This window comes from Homo sapiens, chromosome 15, assembly GCF_000001405.40.
Source record: "Homo sapiens chromosome 15, GRCh38.p14 Primary Assembly".
In the NCBI taxonomy this organism is placed as follows: Eukaryota; Metazoa; Chordata; class Mammalia; order Primates; family Hominidae; genus Homo; species Homo sapiens.
Window position 1 is genome coordinate 73856241 of NC_000015.10, and position 21626 is coordinate 73877866.

The 21626-nt window shown below is 45.6% G+C and overlaps 1 protein-coding gene and 1 long non-coding RNA gene across 16 annotated transcripts in view, besides 1 other annotated feature; one reads left to right on the forward strand and one right to left on the reverse strand.

The window, feature by feature from the left end:
* Positions 752–1444: an enhancer, noted in NCBI's record as "H3K4me1 hESC enhancer chr15:74149333-74150025 (GRCh37/hg19 assembly coordinates)". NCBI's record gives its function as "activates a minimal SCP1, AML or CMV promoter by ChIP-STARR-seq in primed H9 embryonic stem cells {active_cell/tissue: H9 hESC(primed)}" and the evidence as "EXISTENCE:reporter gene assay evidence [ECO:0000049][PMID:30033119]".
* LOC102723657 (uncharacterized) lies at positions 9947–17295 on the reverse strand. Of its 6 annotated transcripts, none has more exons than XR_001751602.2 (7): positions 17120–17275; positions 16898–17000; positions 15703–15863; positions 14512–14876; positions 14237–14372; positions 11787–12064; positions 9947–11061 (listed from the first exon to the last, which is right to left on the reverse strand). It is a non-coding gene; the product is annotated as an uncharacterized LOC102723657 (long non-coding RNA). The 6 variants fall into 6 exon arrangements; XR_001751603.2 differs by having other exon boundaries at positions 16894–17000; XR_932455.3 differs by lacking the exon at positions 16898–17000 and having other exon boundaries at positions 17055–17295.
* Positions 17296–17323: 28 nt separating this feature from the next.
* TBC1D21 (TBC1 domain family member 21) overlaps positions 17324–21626 on the forward strand; it is a 36461-nt gene continuing 32158 nt past the window's right edge. For 9 of the 10 annotated variants that reach the window (XM_011521281.4, XM_047432198.1, XM_011521283.3 and 6 more), the window contains exon 1: positions 17324–17529. In XM_011521281.4, the coding sequence (XP_011519583.1) occupies positions 17470–17529 (60 nt within the window). In that variant the 5' untranslated portion in view covers positions 17324–17469. The remainder of the gene's footprint in view (positions 17530–21626) is intronic. The other variant, XM_011521284.4, reaches the window with a different exon arrangement.

The window sequence follows — 21626 nt, forward strand, 5'->3', positions numbered from 1 at the left end:
AGTTGCAAGAACAGAAGCCCAAAGAGGTTACCCAAAGTCAAATCACCAGGGCTAGGGTAGGAAGCCAGGCCCCCTGATGCCCCAGTCAGGGCTTGCTCTGAAACACAGCTCTTGCCTGTAAATAAAAGAAGGGGAAAAAAACACTTCTACACAGCACAGTTCTTCCTCAGAGAGTTCTTCATCTGAGATCCCAGGGCCTCAATGTCCTTAGCAGCTGCTTGAGAGATAGAACCAACTCTTCAGGAGAGACAGTACAAGGCACCCGCACACTGAGCCAGACTCAACCTGGCTGGGACCTCGGCAGAGCAGAGAAGCCCTGGCTCTGGGCCAGTTGGGCACAGCTGGTAACAAGTTCTCAGTCAATGGGAGCCCAGGGGCGAGAGGAAGCTTTAGGGAGGAAGGAATGTTCTTTGAAGTGGTGTCAACCAGAGGCTCAGAGGTGAAAACGTCAAAAACTCCCAGGTGGCCGGCAGGACTGAGACCCCCATCTCCCAGCAGGAAACAGGAGGCTGGCTTGGCGGGGCCACCTTTGAAGCTCCCCAGGGGACGGACATGCCACTCAGGGCCTCCCTGGTGAACAATCATGCCCCTAAGGCCTATGGCAGAAGCGGCCTCTGAAGCCGGCTTTGGGGCTGGGGAAAGTACTGCCTGTCTTTGGTGGCTTTTTCAAGCTCGCCCTGCTCTTTTTCAGCAGTACCACATCAGGGTGTGCCAGACGAAGAGGAAGGAGGTGGTGGAGCCCAGGTGTGCCAGGCTGCCCTGGCCCAGAGTTGCCGTGCGGAGTCAAGGACCCCAAGCCTGTTGGGACCTTGACCTCTAGGGACCCCTGGCTCTAGGCTGGCCTGCCCCATATCTCCCTGACTTCTAACCAGTAGACTCCCAGAGCCAGCCATTAGACTCCAGGGGACCCCCAAACCCCGAACCCTGGGCCTTGAGTGCCATATCCTGCAGGTCACCAAGGCCTGAAGAGTTGGAATCCCTTCTCTAATCCACTCTCTCTTCTTCATTTCCAGCACCTCTGCTGGATTCTGGCCTTCCTCATCTCCCCTGGACTGTTGTTGCCCACGATCTGGCTTCTGTTCTGCCCTAGCCACCCAGAGCCGGCTCTGACATGCAGATCAGGCCCTGCAGTCTCACATTCTTGCTTCTGCTCATCCTTCACCCGACACCCAGGGCTCCATGACTTGGCTCCTATCCACCTCTCCAGCTTCCTCCCACCTCTGCCTCCAAGGTGCCCTCCTGAGCTCAGCTGCAGGCAGCCACGGCCGCTCCTCAGACATGTCCACCTGTTCTCACCATTGTACCTGTGCCATGCTGTCCCCAGCTACGACAGAATCCTCCCACTCTAGCCTACAGGCACTGGTCTATCTTAACTTTTTACTCAACTTCTAGACTTCATTCCAGCTTCACCTTCTCAGAAAGCCTTTCCTGGAGGCTGGGCTGGGCCTGTGCCTCCCTTGGGCTGTCTCTGTGCCCTATGTGCCTGATCTCACTACTTGCCATGCTGGACTGTCACTGCTGGCAGGTGTGTCTCCTACAGGAAACTGGGCTTCACGGAGGGCAGGGGTCATTTCCAAGTCACCCATGTGGCTCCACAACCCAGCATGTAGGGTGATAAATAGACAACCCTGTACCAGTTCCCACCATCTGGTTGAGGCAGACATACACACACATGCACACACACACACACACACACACACACAAACTACTGAGCTCTCACAGGATTGGGTAGTGTAAGCTCAACTGAGGGCAGAGTCAGCAAGGAGGGTTCCCTTGAGAAGGCAGGATTTGAGCTGGGTTCCTTTGAGCTAGGTTCCAGAGGCATGCTCTGCACCTATCTGGGGATGTGAGTGCAGACACCCGAGCCAAAGCTGGGTGGCCAACGACTGGTGGATTGCATTGCATTGATGGCCCAGTGCTTCCTGCTCCCTGTGTCCTGGCCCTCTGCGGTGTGCTTTTGTATTGTCCTCCCACTATGAACAGAGGTTACGTCACTACCTCACCCTTGAGTTGACCCAGCCATGTGACTTCTTTTGGCCAATGGGATACTAGCAGACATGCTGCAAACGGAAGTTTGAAATGAGCTTTCACATTGGAGCCTGCCGTCTTGTGTCTGTGCTTTTGGCTAGCTTAGGTCAGCCAATAGCCAGCTGACCTCCAGAGTGAGTGACCCCATCTGAGAACTGAAGAATCACCCAGCAGAACCCAGACTAAATTTCTGACCCACAGGATAATAAGTTAAATGAATATTATGTTAAGCCACTGAATTTTGGGGACTTTGTTATACAACAACAGTGACTGAGGCCAAGGTGACCAGCCTTTTGAAGGGCAGGCTCATCCACAATGGTTCCCACGATGGGCTGGCCATCTGAACAGGACCATCACTCCTTCAGCATTTCCACTGCCCCCTCTGCCTCAGCCACCTTGGGCTCTACGAGACCTCACACATGTCCTGTGTCTTTACACAACCTGTTCCTTCCTCCTGGAAGACCCATCCTCATCTTGTCCTCTGAATCCTGTTCACTCTTTAAGACCAGCTCATACCCTGAAACCTTTGTAGGTTCACAGCCTCTCTGCCACCATCAATCTTTTGGGAATGAAGTAAGGTATAAGTGAGTAAAATCCCTCCCCTTCTGTCTCCTGTCTTCCTGTATCCCCCTTTGCTCTGCTGGTAGCTTTATTGCAGCACATCCCCTTTCATAGTTACCAACCCATGCCGTGGCTCCTGAACACTAAGTAGGGAGGAAGGCCCAACTGAGAGAGTGGCTCTCACGTAATCCTGGGTCTCCCCAAGCCTCAGCACTAGCCGGGTACCCAAAAGTATCCTGGGAGGGGGCAATGAATAAAGATGAACAAACTTTCCATCTACTGATTTTAGAACAATGAGACATGGTACTATGTAAAAAACCCACATTGAAATTCAAAGACCTGTTTTCAGTCCCTACCTTGCCCTGCAACATTTGCCAGGGGCTTGCCCCCCTCCGAGCCTCAGTTTCCCATCTGTATAATGAGGGGCTGTGCTGACTCATTTCCCACCCCCCCCGCCCCCCCCACCCCCGTCAGGGCTGAGCATCTGTGGAGTGTGCTCAGGTATCCGGTCCTCCGGTTGCCAGCTCTGGCCTGGTTCCTCACTGGCCTGGGTTGTGTGACAAAGCTTCCCACCTGCCAGCAGCCTGGCCAGTCCTTTGGATAGTGGTGGCTAATGAGCTGGCCTGGGTTCTTTTGACTGCCAGCATCTTCCACTTTCTGAACCTGCCAGTGGGATAAGGAGGCCTTGGTGTTGGGAGACATCTCTTCTGAAAGCTCTGCTGGTCAAGGCTGGGTCCCTGCCTGTCTGATTGGGGAGGCCTGGCCAGTCTTCAGGAAATTCACACACACACACACACACACACACACACACACACACATCATCCAAGGCTCTCTCCTGGAAGCTTCTGATGGGCTCCTAGGAAGGAATGCTGACTGGCTGTGTCTTCCTCCCTTGGCATCCCCTAGAGTCAGGTAAGAAGAGGACAGAGAAAGGGAAAATGGGCCAGTGCAAAATTAACCACACAGAGAAAGACTTTTCCACTCCAGCTCACTGAAAACCAGGATGAAAGATCTCAGAAGCTGGAATCCAGCCAGGTTCACACCTAGGGAGCAAAGCTTCCTGGGGTACAGTGCAGGAAGGGAGGCTAGATCTGAACTAGAGCTTCTCCTCCAGCCAGTATTATCACTGCTTACTCAAGGAGGTGGGAAAGCTCCAAAGATGCTCACCTCATGCATCTCCCTGGCATACCAGGAAGAAGCCTGGGGCAGAAGTCCATGGTGTCTCTGTGGCCCTAGGGTAGGGCTCTACTGCAGCCCTAGGGTAGAGAGCTAGGCCACTGGGGCTTCCAGATTGCACCCATCACAGACAGTGAGCGGCTGACGCGATGCCTCTCTGGCTCTACCTCCTCCCTCGTCTACCCCTCTTTCCAGCAGATAAACTTGAAGGAAGCAGGGAGAGGCTGTTTGTGGATGCAGAGTGGCTGCTCACTCACTGCTCTGTTCTCACACTATCTCCTCGAACCCCACCCCTGTGAATGCTAGAGGCAAAGACTAAGAGGCTGAAAGTCCGGAGCCTTGGCTTCTAGTCTGGGTGTTTTCCCTTGATATCTTTGTGACCTTGGAAGGTACAGTGCTTCTTTTGGACCCCTGGATATTTCTTCTGCAGGTAAGAGGTAATAACTCCCACTGTCAAATGGCCGCAGGATGGAAACCTTCTGAAACCATCAAGTTCTTTATACAGATGTTTTCATTATTGAGTCCAGAGAGGTGGTCCCCAATGTGCTTGAGGCCTCACTGTCCCCTCTTTGCTGGCCTCTTTGCAGCCTAGGCTTTGAGAAACATGGCCAGGACCTGGCCTCTCCTCCCCGCCTCATGTTCCCCGGCCAGCTGCCCCAGTGGTCCCTGCACAGGTTCAGCACCTGCTCTGAGCCCATCCTGGAGCAGGGCTGTCAGGGGAGGGACCTTCCCTCCAGCTCTCTTCCTGGGTACAGAACCACCCAGAGAAGAGCGACAGGCTAGAGCAGGACAGAGTGTGAGCAGGAGCTGTTGTGTGGAGAGTAGATGCTCAGAGAAGGGAGAGGGTGGCACAGAGGAGTAAAGTTCCTCTCCAATCTGTCTCCAAATGCTTGTATCTTCTACAGTCTATACTACCCATGGATTTCAGGTGGAGAGAAAGACATCTTTCTGACAGTGAGAGTTGCCTGGGAGTGGTGGAAGGAAGCATCCTGTCGATGAGGCTTTTTTGCTGAGTGTGTGGGGGCTTGTGCACACAGAAATACTATTTATAGCTACCTTTTAAAATTTAATAGGCAATTTATTAAGGATACACATATAAAAACATAGCTTTTTAGAAGGATTAAGCTCCACTTACCAATCTTATTGTTCTATGCATAAATGCAATAAAATAAGAACAAGACCTTCACTTTTTCTTCAATTAAAGTTTGATTAACTCAGGTTGAAAAAACTACTCCTTTAAACAATCAGTGCCTTTTACAACTCAATTAAATTTGCTTAAACAATTTCAGCTACATTTAAACATTTAATATATTTGATTTTCCTACGTAACTTAAATATCTAATGGAATAAGCAAAATCTTTTTATCACGTACTTGAAAATCCATTGTAAATACAATAAATTAAATTTATAAAAATACTGCCTGGGTGTGGTGGCTCATGCCTGTAATCCCAGCATTTTGGGAGGCCAAGGTGGGCAGATCACTTGAGGTCAGGAGTTCAAGAACAACCTGGTCAACATGGTGAAACTCCATCTCTACTAAAAATACAAAAATTAGCCAGGCATGGTGGTGGATGCCTGTAATCCCCGCTACTCGGGAGGCTGAGGCAGGAGAATCACTTGAACCTGGGAGGCAGAGGCTGCAGTGAGCTGAGATCATACCACTGTACTCCCGCCTAGGCAACAGAGTGAGTGAGATTCCGTCTCAAAAAAAAAAAAAAAAAGAAAGAAAGAAAATAAATAAATAAATAAATTTATAAATAGAATAACTTTTACATTCTCTTAAATATTGCAATACTGTTTCCAAAATTTGTTACATTCTCCCATACCTTTCAACTAAAAATTACATGTCTACAGGCTTCTGATTACAGCTAAGATGGAGTAAGCAAATTTCATCCTCTCTCTCCCACTGCTTACAAATAAAATCCCTGGAATGAATGCATGCAACACTGTTTAAGAATACTGAAAAAAAAATAATAGCAGGTGGATTTGCAGGAAATAAATGCTCAAAGAATGATCAATATGACCGTGAGTTTTCTGGTATTTTCCCTCCAATATCTCCTGACTTGGATGCTAGAGGGCCCAAATGCCACTGCACAGTGGGCACAAACAAAAAAGCTCCAAGAGGAACTCTTCCTTCTAGCCACAGGACTGGGAACAGGGACCCTGCAGGTCAGAGAGTGACCCCAATTGTTCTCTCTTTTACTCTCCTGGGTATGTCCCAAGGAAAGCCCCAATCATGAAACTATACTCCTGTAATGTTGGTAGTGCAGGATCTAAAACCATGAGGAAAATCCTTCTCTCTGGTCAGAGGAATTGGGAAAGGGAACCCCTATGAAGGTGTGGGGGAAATTCTGTTGATTTTTCTTTCTTTCTTTGTCTTTTTGCTTCACCCAGGAGGTGGACCCCAGGCAGGGGAAATATGCAACAGTTAGGGGAGGGTAAAACTCCAGCGTTGCAGCACAAAGACCCGGAAAAGGGCCTCTGGGCGCCAGAGAGTGTAAGGGAAATCGCGGTGTGCTAAAGAAAAGACTTCCTTAAATCCGTGGGTGAAGTCCTGGACTCTTCCTTGAGCAGGGCATGTGTAGAACTGATCCAAAGCAGGTCAGGACTTGTGGTCTGAACTAGATAGGGTTGATCATATAATATTCAAAATGCCCCAAATTACTCCATACACAAAGAACCAGGAAAATCTCAATTACTTTCAAAGGAAAAGATAATTAACTGATGCCGGCCCTGAGATAATCCAGATGATGGAGTTATCACACAAAAACTTTAAAGCAGATATTATCACTATAGTTCATAAAGTAAGAAAAAATGATCTTGAAATGAATGGAAGGATAGAAGCTGTCAAAAAAGAACCTGAAAATCATTTTAAAAAGAACAAAATGGACATTTTGTTGCTAGAAAATACAATAACTGAAATTTTAAAAATCACCTCAGGGCTTCAATTGCAAAACAAAGATGACAGAAAAAAGAATCAATAAACTTGAAAATAAATCAATAGAAATTATCTAATCTGAACAACATAGAAAAAAAGATTGAAAAGAAAGAATAGAGTTTCAGGGACTTGTGAGACAATATCAAAATGTCTAATATTCATGTCATTGGAGTTCAATAGAAAGAGAAGAAAAGGCTTGCTTGGTGCAGAAAAAAAACTTGAAGAAATCATGGCTGAAAACGTCCCAAATTTGGTAAAAAGACATAAATGTATTGATTCATGGATCTCAGTATATTCAGAAACCCCCAAAACAATAAATTCAAAGACAACCTCACCCAAAGACATCTTAAACAGCTGAAAACCAAGGATAAAGAAAAAAGTTAAAAGCAGCCAGAGGAAAGCAATACAATACATATAGAGGAAGAACAATTAAATTGCCTACAGATTTGTCATCAGAAACCATCAAAGCCAGAAGACAATGGAAAAAATTCTCTAAAATGCTGGAAGAGCTGTCAACCCAGAATTCCATACCCAGTTAAAAAACAAAACAAAACAAACAAACAAACAAAAACCCAAAACCTTTTTAAAAGGCAAAGTAAAGATATTTTTATATGAAGAAAAACTAAGAAAATTTATTGCTGGCATGCCAGCTGCAAAAGAAACGCTACAGGAAATTCTTCAGGAGAAAGACAAATGATACCAATATTTGGGAGATTTTTCCAGATGTCTTTCTCTTACTCATTTTGAGTTGCTCCTGTAGCCACTGCTGCTGCTACTCTCTTGAAGAAGGCCACACTCCCACTCAAAACTTGGAACTTAAGGAGTAAAGGAAGATGACAAAATTATAAAACTAGGTAAATATAATAAATTATTTTCTCCTTAAGTACTTTAAAATATGTACTATAGAAAGAGAAGAAAAGGCTTGCTTGGTGCGGAAAAAAAACTGGAAGAAATCATGGCTGAAAACGTCCCAAATTTGGTAAAAAGACGTAAATGTATTGATTCATGGATCTCAGTATATTCAGAAATCCCCAAAACAATAAATTCAAAGACAACCTCACCCAAAGACATCTTAAACAGCTGAAAACTGTTTAAGCTGAAAGCAAAAGTTATAACATTGTATAATGAGGTTTTCAATGTCTATAGATGTATATAACGAGTACAGCATGAAGGAGGGAAAAGGACCTATATGGCTGCAAGGTTTCTATATTTCACTTGAAGCGGTAAAATAGTAACTCTAGATAGACCATGAAGAATTAGGTATTTGTATTATAATCCCTAGAATAACCACTTAAAAAATACAAAAAGATATAGTAAAAAAGGCAACAGAGAAAGAAAAATGGAATGCTAAAACAATATTCAAATAATCCAAAGGAAGACAGAAAAGGGGAAACAAAGAAATAAAAGATTTGGGACAAACCAAAACCAAACAATAAAATGGTAGACCTAAATCCAACCATATCAACGAATGTATTAAGTATAAATGGTTTAAACATATCAATTAAAAGACAGAGATAGTCAGATTAGATTTTTTTAAAATAAGACCAACTCTATGCTATATATAAGAAACTCACATTAAATATGATATAGATAGGTTAAAAATTAAATGATTTTTAAAACTACCATGAAACTTTTTTTAGAAAGCTGGAATGGCTATATTAATTTAAAGCAAACTAGACTTCTAAAGAAGGAAATTTATCAGAGATTAAGAGGAATATTACACAATGAAAAAAGGATTAATTCATCTAGAAGTTGTCACAATCCTCAATGTATATGTATCCAACAATAGAGCTTCAAAACACATGAAGCAAAAAATTGAGAGAAGTAAAAGTAGAAATAAACAAACCCAGTTATACTTGGAGACTTTAACAAAACTCATCTTTCACTAACTGATGGAAAAGTAGACAGAAAATCAGTGAGGACGTAGAAGACCTGAACAACACTACCAATGAACTTGATCTAATTGATATTTGTAGAACACTCCACCCCCAACAGCAGAATGCACATTCTTTTCAAGTTGCTCCAATATAGACCATATTCTATAGGTCATAAAACAAACCTTAACAAACTTAAAAGAATTGAAATCATACAGAGTATGTTCTCTGATTGTAATGAAGTCAAATGAAATGAACGAAAGAGAGATATCTGGAAAATCTCTCAAATACTGGAAATTAAGCCACACATAAAAAATTCATGGGCTAAAGAAAGGTGAGGTTGAGGAGCTGGGATGCTAGCCTGGGAAGTTTGCCCATGCTCTTAACCAGTAGGCCACATGGCCTCTCAAGGTTTTTCGGAGCCTTGAATGCCCAGCTAAGGACTTTGAAATTTGCACTTATTCAATGGATAAGCATTTAAGGATTTTCACGTATAAGACAAAGCACTATTTGCAAACAGATGGAGTTGGGTATAGCTTGTGAAGGGGCAGGAGAAGGGGCAAGACAAATCTGTTCTGCCCCACCAGGGAGGCAAAGTGAAATTAAAGATTTGGATTTTTCAAGATTTTTTAAAGAAGACATTTTTGAAACAGAGCCCATCCCTCCTTTTTCACAGAGGTTATTTCCATAGTCCTTTTGGGTTGTACATATGTTACATGAGCTGGCAGCTCTAGAGGGAGGAGCCTATCTCTACCATCAGACAGGGGCTTTCAGACAAAGGCCATGTAACCCTGCAATAATGGGGGTTTCCCAAGAGATAATTAGCTTGTGGCTCTAGACAAGTTGCTTAACCTCCCTATGCCTCAGTTTCTCATCTGTATGATGGGGATGATATCAGTTCCTACTGACTGTTCCCTGGCCTTGGGCTAAGCTGCCTGGGAAAAAGGCTAGAAAGGAGTTTGAACTCCTGGCTTCTGGTAGCTGCAGTGGGACCCTAGCTGGAAGGTAGGTGGGAAGGTGTCTCTCTAGTTTGCAGTAAGGCTTGGAGGAAGGTCTCAGCATGACAAGAAGTGGGACTCCTACCTCCAGGGACCCCAAGTCGGAGCAGGGTAGGGCATATTAAATATCCTCTGCAGAGACTTTGATCAACAGCCATGACAGGGAGGGTTTCTGTTCTCTTTGAAGCAGCAAAAAGATCAATCCTCCTTCTTATCTCAGCCTCTTTGCACAGTGGCATCACGTGCTCCTGCAACCACTGAGGCTGCTACTCTCTCAAAGACGGGAACAGAGGAGGCAAAGCCCAACCCAGCCCTGTCTCCTCCCCGCCGTCTCCCTGCCTCCCTGTACCCCTCCATCCCAGGGATAAACAGAATCTGCCACTTTCTAGCCTTCATTTGGCCCAGCCCCGGAAGGAAAGAGGAGGAAAACAAAAGAATACCTATGCACCAGGAAATAAGACCTTCCAGGGCTCCTTCATCAAACTAGCTAACCTGGGCACTCCTCTTTTCCTCAAAATCTGGCTTTTAAAACATCGCCTTTTGCTGCCATCTAAAGATAACCAGGATAGGAGGCAGGAGACTGGATTCTAGTTACAGGTATTCCTTTGATTTGCTGTGTGACTTTAAGTAAGCTGCTGCCCCTCTCTGGAGCTTAATTTCTCACCTACGAAGCAAAGTTGCTGCATATGTTTTTCAGGACTCAATTTAAAACTCTGTAGTCAAGACCAGGCTGTGGCCAGGGCCAGATTTCCATGTGTGTTCAGGTTGTAGAATTGTCTTTCTCAGATCCTCTCACAAAGGAATTGCCCCCATAACCTTGACCTCACTGACTCCTTCCTATCTTGGCCAAATGTTTTTCTACACAATCTATTAGTGGAAAGAGCTGCTTGGCTAGTGGAGCAGCATCCTGAGTCTGCAGGCTCTGCCCATGAGGGGCAGGAACAATTCCCATCAGTGCTGCCTCCAGCTTGGTCAAGGACTGAAGACAGCAGAGGAGAGGGTTTGCAGGGTCACTCTGCCTTTGAAAGGCTGGGAGAAGAAGAGAATAGGGCACGGGGCAGGATAGGGAGGAGTTGAGGTGGGAATAAGGGGTCGTGGGAGAAATGTCCTGGACCTCCTGCCTCTGGGTGTTGTGTGTTTATGACCATACCAGCCTGGTGAGTTTGGGTAGGGGTCAGGGGTTTACCCCATGCGAGTATAGCGCCTCCCCATTTCATTGGGTGAATGAAAGTTTCAGACCCAGAGGAAGTAAGATCCTCCACCTGTCTCCTGCCCCCTAGAGGAGGTCCCAAAGACAAAGGGCAAAGGCCGCAAGAGTCCTGCTCCTCCAAGCCAACCCAGTGAGCTGATGCTGCTTCCGGGCATCAGGCTTTGGAGAGCTCAGTAATAAGCTTCCTGTATCTGGTCTCCAGGATACTGACAGGTCTACTTTCTGGCCAGATCCAGGCCCCAGTCAGAGTCTCCCAGGGTGTAGAGGATGGAATAGCTCCAGAAAAGGGAAAAAATGAGGAATGAAGTGAGAAAGAAGTAATTCCAGTCTCCCTGCTTCTGCCCAACACTGGAACGCACCAGGCCAGATCTGAACCTCTTCTCTGCCTCTAGGACTGAGGGTGTCAGTGTAGATCTCCATCCTCCTGCTTTTCCTCCCCCAGCCCCAGCTTCGTCTGTCTCTTCCATCACTCCAGGCCCCTGGGGTCTCCTGCTCTGCCCTCATGAACCCTGACCCCTAATAAGTCCCCAGGGTCAGCCCTTTGCCCACTGCCCAGCCCCCTCGGTGGCCCCCAGCTTGGGATCTCTCCAGGGAGAAGGGAATCATCTGTGAATTGCTGCCATGACTGGCAAGGCCCAGGGGTGCCATTCCTGGCATGCTGCCCAGGCATTTGGACCTACAGGGTAGGTGTATTTGTGTGTGTGCACAAATGTTCACACTTCAGAGAGCAAGTTTTCCATAGAAGTGAGGTGCCCAGATTGATTTCATGCTGTTTTGGGGGAAACGTGTAAGTGTGGGCATGTTGCAGCATGATATAGATGTGTTTGTATGCACATTACGCGGGGCTATTTGTGTTTCTGTGGATCTGAATATGTTGGAAAGTGAATATTGAAGCATGTGGTCCTACATTTTGTGGGGGCTTGTGTACTCCTGAATTTCAGGGGTTTCGTGTATAGTTTGCAGAGTGATATGTGTGCCCATGGGCAATGTGTGCTAGGTACCTGTGAGCTCTTGAGTATCTTTGCCACTTTCCCTTTGCCTGGAGGAACTTCTTGCTGGCTCCTGCCTCCCTGCCTCCTCTACATTGGAGGGAGAGCTGGGCCCTTGGCCAAATAGCCCATCTGAGGTCAAGAGTCAGCAGCAAACTTAGTGCCCCTGTGGTCCTTGCTGTCTGACCCATGTAGCAACCGCAGGCAAGTGGGGGTGGGGGATGCTGATTGCAGCTGGAGAATCCCAGGAGCAAGCATCTTGAGGAGTTCAAGGTCAGCCTTCTTGTGCTCTGAAACAAATGATAACACAAAAAACTGCTGTTTACTGAATGCTTGAGTATACTAGATACTAGATACTGTGAAAAGCACTTTGCAGACATTATTTAAACCACACAATAATTTTACAAAGCACCCCCTTTTACAGATAAGGAAAATGAGTCTGGGAAACTAAATGACTTAACCTGGGTCAAATAACAAGTAAGTTATAAGACTAGGATCTGAACCCAAGTCTGTTTGACTCTAAAACTCATGATTCTCTCTCCCTATTCTGGTCTACAGATTATGCTAGAAAGAGGGGAGAGTGGAGGAGCTCCTCTTCTCCAAAACCCACACTTACCAAACAGATCTGTTTGGCTTGTTAGAGGTGAGCCTTCATTTCACAGAAGGACCTCAACTTTATACCCATAGATTTAAGATCTGGAACTCCCTGATGGAGAGAATGGAAAGGAGAGGTGGGCGGAGGAAAATAACCAGAGAAGGCCTCCTGGAGCTGTTGGAGAGAAACATCGCAAGCTTTGGTGGGGGAGGGAGTTGGATTTACAGACCTTGGTCTGCCCCTGGTGTCCTGGAGCCTAGTTGCTTGGTGTGTGAGGTTCCCATGGCTCACTCCTGTGGCTTCCCTGGGAAGACTGCTGTGTGGTCACCCTCAGGATGAGGACGCTGGGGAAGCAACTCATCAAGGTGAGACGGTCAGAGGCAACCCTGCACATGCACAGCTACTCTAGTGCCCACTGGGAGACTCTGCTCATTCTCTTCACTCCCAGATTTAAGTTGCAGGGAAAATGCATTATTTTTTCATTAAACATTTATTTTGGAATGGATAGCCTTCAGAGATGTAATTAGCCATGTTATTTCTCTCCATTAGCAGTCCCTGGCATTTGCTGGAGTTTCTTGTCCTTTTTCCTCTCCATTTCACTCTTTCCATCATCTTTATAATCTAGGTTGCAATACTTCCCCACCCCCACCTCCAACCAGCACCACATAGTCTGTTTTTAGACTGAATAACTATTTTAAAACCTGGAGAGGGAGTTATAGCAAACTCCCCCCCCTCCCCACTGGGCTGTAGGATTACAGTCCCCTGAGCCAGCTAGGAGCTCCACGATGCCCACCACTGCCAACAGGAAGGGGGAGGCAGCTCCACGTGACACTGTGACGGCCTGGCTAGTGGCAAAGCTAGGCAGAGCTAGGAAGGTTGTTGGCTCCCCATGTTCTGGCTGGATGATCCCAGGTAAGTTACTTAACCTTTCTGAGCTTCTGTTGACTTCATAGTGTTCAAGGCTGGCACTCACTTAGGTAAAGCACTTCACCGGAGGTATATAGCAAGTGCCCAGTAAAAGGCAGCTGTGGTGGGGAGGTCCACAGGCAAGAGGGAGACTTGGGGACTAAATGAACAGGAGACATGGGTAGCAGGAAAGGCATAGCCTGGGCTTGGTGAGTCCGAGCTACCTGCTTTGGTGGTGACCCAGGAGCCTGGGCTGGGGGACAGGTGACAGGTAGAACCATGAGGAAGACCCCTCACGGAGCAGGACTGGGTGGAAAGAGTAGTCAGGAGCTCTGCCTCAGCTGCCCATGGCTGAGTGTCCCTCTTTTGTCCAGAGTTGCTCCTATGGGTTATTTCTGGAATGCAAGAGAGCTACCTAGGAGGTGGGCTCCCCAAGACCTTAGAGATGGCCCAAAGTGCAGTAACTCCTTAGCCCTCCAACTAGGTTAGGGGATTTCTAGGGTGACTGGGCTGGTTATTGCTCTGGGGAATCCAACTACCTTGGTGCTCAGAAGGGAGCTGTCTCCACCACTCCCCGTCCCTGCTATCCTCACGCTAGTGACACATGACGTGCAGCCATCTCCAGCATTGTCAGAAATGCCATGCTCCATGGAGTTGAGGGCAGAAAGCCTGAAGCCAAAAATCTAAACTTACCCTGGTCCTCCACAAAGAGGGGTAAAGAGAAAAGTGCAGCTTTGGCATGGAAGATCCTTGGCATTTTGCAATGAAATAAAATCAGAATGCGTGTGATTTCTATCAAGATCTAGAGTGCCGCAGACTGAGACAGTCATGGGTAGGTATCCTTTGAAGGGGTTGATACTTGTTAACAGGGATACAGTTGCATGGCATTTCACAAAGTTGTGTCTTGTTGCATTGACATGAAGGGAACTGGAGTGAACCTGCTTTTTAATACTGGCCTTACCTGCTTTTATAGTAATCCTGGTCCCCTAGGTCCCCAGAGACATGCAGAGAAGTGGAAATTGGCTCAGAGGGTCTTTGAACTTGTACATGGATGTCACTACAAGCCTCATGGAAGCAGGCAGCATTTTGATGTGAGTCTAGTTCACAGAAGTAAATTTTCATAGTGATTTTTGTGGACAAGTCCTAGGCATTAGTAATAATACTGGCGATGCTGAAGATAATAATAACTACCACACATTGGGTGCCTCCTGCGCTCCAGGGCCATGCTTCAATTACCTTCAGTTCTGTAAAGCATTACCATCCTCATGGCACATGTGGAGATGCCGAGACTCGGGCAGGGTAGAGAAGATTCGCACTGTGTAGAGGACGGCAAACAGCACAACAATGCCCGCCACCAGGAGCAGCAGAACCAGGATGTCAGCCCACTCCATGGTTTATAGGTGTCGCCACGAAAGACACGACTCACACAGGCACTAGATGGAACAACACTTTACTCACACAGAGAAGAGACAGAGTAAGATCAGCTGCAATCATGGGTTCAGTCCCGCATGGCCAGGGGTCTCCTGCTACAGCAGACACAAGGTGACGGTCTGCACACACCCCTCTTGTGCAGCAGCGGGTGGACCCTGTTTCCTCCCCACCTGGAACAGATATAACAGTGGGGTTGGCCAGGTGCCTGCCACATGACGCACAAGCTTAAGCAGAACAAAGAGTACACGCTGAGTCTGAAACAGGAAAAAGATATTCCCACGTAAGGCGATAAGCCCAGCACAAGCTATGAGAGCTCCTTATCTGTTGGTAAGGAAGTGTTTTTGGCTCAAGGCCACTTGTATGGGGCTGAGCAGAGGTTAAAAAACCACATGCATGAGACTGCCTTTCTCAACCTAGGTCATATCATTGGTGTGCAGCAGAGCCAGGATTTGAACCGGGTCTTTTTGGCACCAAAGCCTATGAGCTTTCTCATTGATGAGAGGTCTTCCCCAGGCCACTCCAAGTCTCCTCTCCCTCCTCATGCCAGCCACATCAGCTAATGGACAGCCAGATTCAGCAGAGAAAAATGAACTGAGTGGGTTTCTCCCTCCTTGGACTTCTTTAATGCAAACACCTAAAATAATATTTTCCCTGAAGAATCCTCACGTATAGAAGTTTAAAGCAGAAAGCTGGATTCCCATCAGAGATGAGAAAATGCATAACAGAAAAGCAATATATGGGAAACCAAGGCACTTGGGCAATTATGTAAATAAATGGACATGGTAAGGATCATTCAGCCCTGGAAAAAAATGGACACATGTAATTCCCTTTCAGAATCTGAAAAAAGAAGAAAGAGGGATGGAATAAAAGCCCTTTTTGCTTCCGTTACAGAGTCCTGCAGTTCTGTTTGAATATTAAGCCTCCATGTGGTTGCTATGGGGCTTTTGTAATATGACTAAACTGTATTGGCTCATTTGGGGAAGGGTTATCACCTACAATTCACAGATAGGATGCCAGAGGTTAAAAGAAGTTCAGTAGTTGATCTATGTTCACCATGTTCGTTTTAGAAGCCAGGTTGAATTGAGCCCTCAGATGTTTCCAATTCCCGACCTGATCCTCATCTTCTCAAGGAACAATTGCAGTGAATCCTCAGTTGCCTACGTGGTTAATGTGGAAGAACAGAGACATAGATAATCCTAAATGATGTCTATGTCTCTTGCTCTAAACATTTGCTTTGGAAACTTCTTGCAGACCTTAGAATGAAGCCACCCTAATGTGCAAGGGGCCCCATCCTTACTCCACACCTTCCCTACTCAACGTTGCCCACCTCCCACTCCATGAAGACCTAGGGGCAGTAGATCAAAGGGAAGAGGCTCTTAACTCTCTCCTAGGTTGAGCTAGGGTAGTGGGTAGAGGAGAGAGGCCGATAATAAGGCATTTTGATTTAAAAGGCCTTCTGCAGTGCCGCAGGCAAGCAGAACAGAAACAGTAAATGAGACAATGAATTGTGTCCGTGGAAGACTCCATATGGACAGTGATTCATTATGTTAATAAGGAGGTGAAAGCCAGAGGTTGACTGTATTCTGATTTCATGTCTGGGGAATCTGTAGCTCAGAAGCGGGGAGCATCCAAATTTGAGGTCAGAGTCCAAATTCCAACACCCAGCTCCTGATTCCAATTTGGTTGGTCGAATTACTATCATCTCCTAATGACTAAGGATGCTTTAGAGCCAGATGGGACCTGAGTAGAAGTGCAAGCAATGCTTAAGGTGGAGAAGAGTGATGCTGGAGCCAAGCAGAGCCAACTCCTTGGGTCCATGCAACAAATATTGAGCACCTACCAAGTGCCAAGTGATGGCAGAACTGGCATTGGGAGAGGGAACCACAGAGGAATCTGATGTTGACCCTGGCCTAAAGGAACTCAGGGTAGGAGGTGATATGGGGCAGGCACAAATCTCTGTCATACATACAGAGAGGGAAGTGAGATGAGGTCTAAGACAGCTTCATTTATTCTCCCATTCAATTAAATCATTAACTCAGCTACTCAGGCACGATCGTAAGTGCTCCAAATAAAAAGCTAAACAAAACTGATCTCCACCCCAGAAGCTACCATTCCAATGCTGAAGCTAAGTCACCCCAGGAGGCATATCAAAACACATTCCCCAGCCCCCCAGGCCCCAGCACTGACATACTGATTCTGAATCTTTATAACTGGTACCCAAGACATCTGAAGCCTGGTTTCTAGTTATTCTCCAACTTTGGGCACTGGTCTGGTGGAATAGGGAGGGAGTCCAGCTAAGAGAGTCCAGAGGAAGAGTCAGAGATAGAGAGCAAGGCTTCATGGCCCACCTCTCCCTGGAAGCCCTCCTTGACCAGCACAGCCCACACTGATCCCCATGTCCTCTGAATCCAACCTCCACTGCGTGTTCTGCAGTTTTGCATTTTTCTGTTTGTTGTTGTTTTTTGTTTTTCTTTCTTTCTTTTCTTTTCTTTCCTTTTTTTTTTTTTTTCCAAAACTAGCAGGTTTAATCCCTCTTCTCCTGCTTGTGTCTCATCTCTAAAGGTGGGTGTTCCCGTGTTCCAGGTCATTGTGATGAGAGTTCCAGGGGACTTGTGACACACTGCTGGCCGGCTCTGTTCAAGTGTGGGAGGTCAGGAGCAGCCAGTTCCTCCTGGGAATGCAACCCATCTCCGAAAAGGATTAAGCATCACTAGGGCTCCAAGTGAGTTCTGATCAGAGGCTGTTCGGAAGACAGCAGGGGCCATGACCACCCTCTCTCCTGAAAACAGCCTCTCTGCCAGACAGTCAGCCTCCTTCATCCTGGTGCGTGTTCTTTGTCAGCTCTGAGTGCCTCCCTCCCCAGCCTCTGGTTGGCACTGGGACCATTTTCCCCTGCTGGGTAGGAAAAGCTAGAACCCTGAGCTAACATAGAAGGTGGAGCAAGGGCGGTTGTACCTTACTCTTACCATCAGCCCAAGGACAGGACTGAGACATCCAAGCCCCCTTTCACCTTCTTTCCAAGCCAGCAAAACCTTCTCCACATATGTGCTATTCTAACTTTATTGAGTTGTAGGTTTGCAGGTGCGAACCTGAAGATGCTGATAGATTTTCATCGGTGCTTTTTGCCAACAATTTTGGTATACTGCCACCAGGTGGCAGTAATGCTTTTGTTAGTAGGTAGTTCTAAACCCAGTTTACAAGATACAGCTATTTGTTAGAAGTCGGCTTCAGTCATAAAAATTTTCCACACGGTATTTTTTCAAAATCATAACTAATTACAATAACTTTAGCCAATCTTAAGTCTCATTAATCATAGTGATTAAGAGAGTGATACATAAAAATGCAAAATGGACACTCCTCTCCCTGAGTTTTAAATGTTACTGCTTTATGGCAAATTATCACCAGGCCTTGCTTTAAATTTTCTTTATATCTTTCTCATTTCTCTGAGCTTAGAGAAGGCTAATAAAATAAACTGTCACATAGCATTTATTATGTACGATGAATGTTCTAAATGCTTTATTTATAGTCATTCATTCTCATCACAACTCTATGAAGTGAATAATGCTGTTGTCTTCCTTTTATAAATGAGAACATGGAGCCACAGAGACTTTGTCACTTGCCTACAGTCACACAGCTTGTTAAGTGGCAGAAGTTGTATTTCGACCCAGACAGGTGGGGTGCAAAACTCAGTATTCTCAAAGTGTGGCATCCAAACCTGCAGCATTAGCACCAACTGGGAACTTGTAAGAATGCAGACTCTTGGGCCCCAGATCTTCTGAACCAATAAACTGGAGACGAAGCCCAGAGATCTGTGTTTTTTGTAACTCATCCCTCCAGGGCACTGTGATGCACAATTAGCTTTGTGAACCACTGTTTTAAACCATTTTCTTCATCACGGTGCTGTACTGATGATACACCCTCCACACCTGGGTTGGTAATAATTGCTGAAGTGGGAACCCCTTGTTACGGTTGGGAGTCTATCTTGTCCTCAGGTGAACTGGAGTAGAAAAGAGAACCTGTCCAGGTGCAGTGGCTCACGCCTGTAATCCCAGCACTTTGGGAGGCCGAAGCGGGCAGATCACCTGAGGTCGCGAGTTCAAGACCAGCCTGGCCAATATGGCAAAACCCTGTCTCTACTAAAAAATACAAAAAATTAGCCAGGCGTGGTAGTGAGTCCCTGTAATCCCAGCTACTTAAGAGACTGAGGCAGGAGAATCACTTGAACCAGGGAGGTGGAGGTTGCAGTGAGCTGAGATTGCGCCACTGCACTCCAGCCTGGGCGACAGAGTGAGACTCCATCAAAAAAAAAAAAAAAGAAGAAGAAGAAGAAGAAAGAAGGAAGGAAGGAGGGAAGGAGGGAAGAAGGGAAGGAAGGAAGGGAGGGAGGGAGGGAGGGAGGGAAGCTTAAGCAAAGTCAATGACCTTCCCTGGGCTTTATTGGAGGTTCTGTGGCTATGAGTATTCAGAGAAACTTGGCATTAAAACCCTCATAAAAAGTTTTTCTTGTCCTCCAAAGGCTTTCTTTTTTTACTGAAAATATGGGAGAAAACCCCTAACCCAATGATGCAGTGGGGAGAGGAGATTTATGCCTGAAGCCAAGGCCTCTAGCAGCAGGAAACTTTTAGAGGGACTGAGCCACTTAGGGCTCCCACTTCTGGTCCCCTTCCCCAGGGGAAGAATGGCCAAGGCTTCCTCAGGTTTGCTGATGTAGAACTTTAACCTGCCTAGATACACCCTGAAGGTGGGAGATTTCCATAGCTGCTCTATCTAGCAGTACGCTTCCCAGGACACTAGGAAAGGCACCACTGCAGAGCTGGAGGGTATCCAGCCCCCTCGCAAACTGCAGACTTCCCCTCCCGGATTACCAGGTCATTATACCCAGTGTATGGAAAAGGGTGTTATTAGGTTGGTTGAGCAAAGAACAGAGGAATATGGGAAGATGAAGGTTGATTTGAGAAGCCACTGTGTTGACAATCTCCGTCACATTAAAGGAGCCCAGATACACATTCTCTGATTTCTAGCATAGGCAGGTAGGTGGTGTGCATGTAGAGAGAGGGCTTCTAAGTGACATTTCCCCCTTTGCCTTCTGCGGGTCAACAGCCTTCTTGTTCTGGTCCTTGGCTTGCTAGCAAGTGTCTGAGATAGTCTTGTGGGTGGCCTATAGTTTGCTGAAGTTTGGAGAGATACAGGGAACTGGTGGGTGTAGAGAAATGGAGTTTCCTAGAAGGAAGAATCAGTGACTTTTTTTGTGGGTTTTTTTTTTTTTTTTTTTTTTTTTTTTTTTTTTTTTTTTTTTTTTGAGACGGAGTCTTGCTCTGTCACCCAGGCTGGAGTGCAGTGGTGCGATCTCAGCTCACTGCAAGCTCCGCCTCCTGGGTTCACGTCATTCTCCTGCCTCAGCCTCCCAAGTAGCTGGGACCACAGGTGCCCACTACAACACCCGGGTAATTTTTGTTTTTTTTTTTTTGTATTTTTTTTAGTAGAGAAGGGGTTTCACCATGTTGGTCAGGATGGTCTCGATCTCTTGACCTCGTGATCCACCCGCCTCGGCCTCCCAAAGTGCTGGGATTACAGGCGTGAGCCACCGCGCCCGGCCGAAGCAGTGACTTTTTATAAACAAATTCAACCACGGCAAAGTAGGCAGATGGCCAATTGTTACAGGTAGAGGTTTAGAAATGCAAATTCTCTGAATACTCAACAGATGTCTTCTTGTGATGTTTCTAATTATTTCTGCCTTATTGCGTTGATGCTGTATCTTTTGTTACGGTGTGCGGTGCATATTACTTTAATTTCAATATTACCTCTCCATTGTGTTTGACTTTTTTTCGTATCTTTGTTCGTCATTTATTTTTTAATCATTGTAGGGCATTTGATTTTAAGGTATTTCTTTTGTTCACAGCTTGTGTAAGATACATATTTTTTATTTGAGTGGAAAATCCTTGCCTTTTAATTCCTTCCCACTGCCCCTCCCACCCCCAGCATGGCATTAGGGTTAAGCCTCTGACTGTTGCATCAAACAGCTTAGGGTTCAAACTCCAGCTCTGATACTTTCTGTATCTAATCTCAGATATGCTAATTAACCCTCCTGTGGTCTCAGTTCCCTGATCTGTAAAACAGTACAAGAACTTTACCACTTCATAGATATTTGCGAAGATTAAATGGGTTGATATATGTAAAGTGCTTAGAACAGTGTCTGGCACATCATCAATTGCTTTTTAATGTTTACAGCTAATAAGAGAATGAAATGCATTTATTTTCATAATTAATTGCTTTGGGTTTCTATCATTTTTATGCTTTATACTTTTATTAATTCCTTGTTGTTTCCTATATTGCTTGCTTTTATTTTTTAAAGTGAGTTGGAAGATGTCCTGTTCCTATAAATTCCTAATTTTTAAAGTAAAAAATAAAGCAATTTCTTTTGACTCCATCCTAATATCTAATAAAGAAATAGAATCTGCAATTAAAAACTTTCCCACAAAGAAAACTTTAGCCCAGATGGCTTCACTGGTTCTACCAAATATTTTAAAAAGAAATAATACCAATTCTATACAAACACTTCCAGAAAACTAAAAAAAAAAAAAAAAAAAAAAAAAAAAAAAAAAAAGAAATCCCTACTCATTTTATGAGGCCAACATTACCCTGATACCAAAATTAGAGATCTTACAAGAAAAGAAACTCACAGGCAAATGATTCTTGTGAACATGGATGCAAAAATTCTAAATAAAATTTTAGCAAATAGAATACAACAATGTATAAAAAGCATAGTATATCATCACCAAGTGGGGCTTATCCCAGGAATGTGAGGCTTACTTACCATTCAAAAGTACTCAATATAATTTACCATACTAACAAACTCAAAAAAAGAAAACCATATGACCATTTCAACAGATGCAGAACATTATTTGACAAAATCCAACATC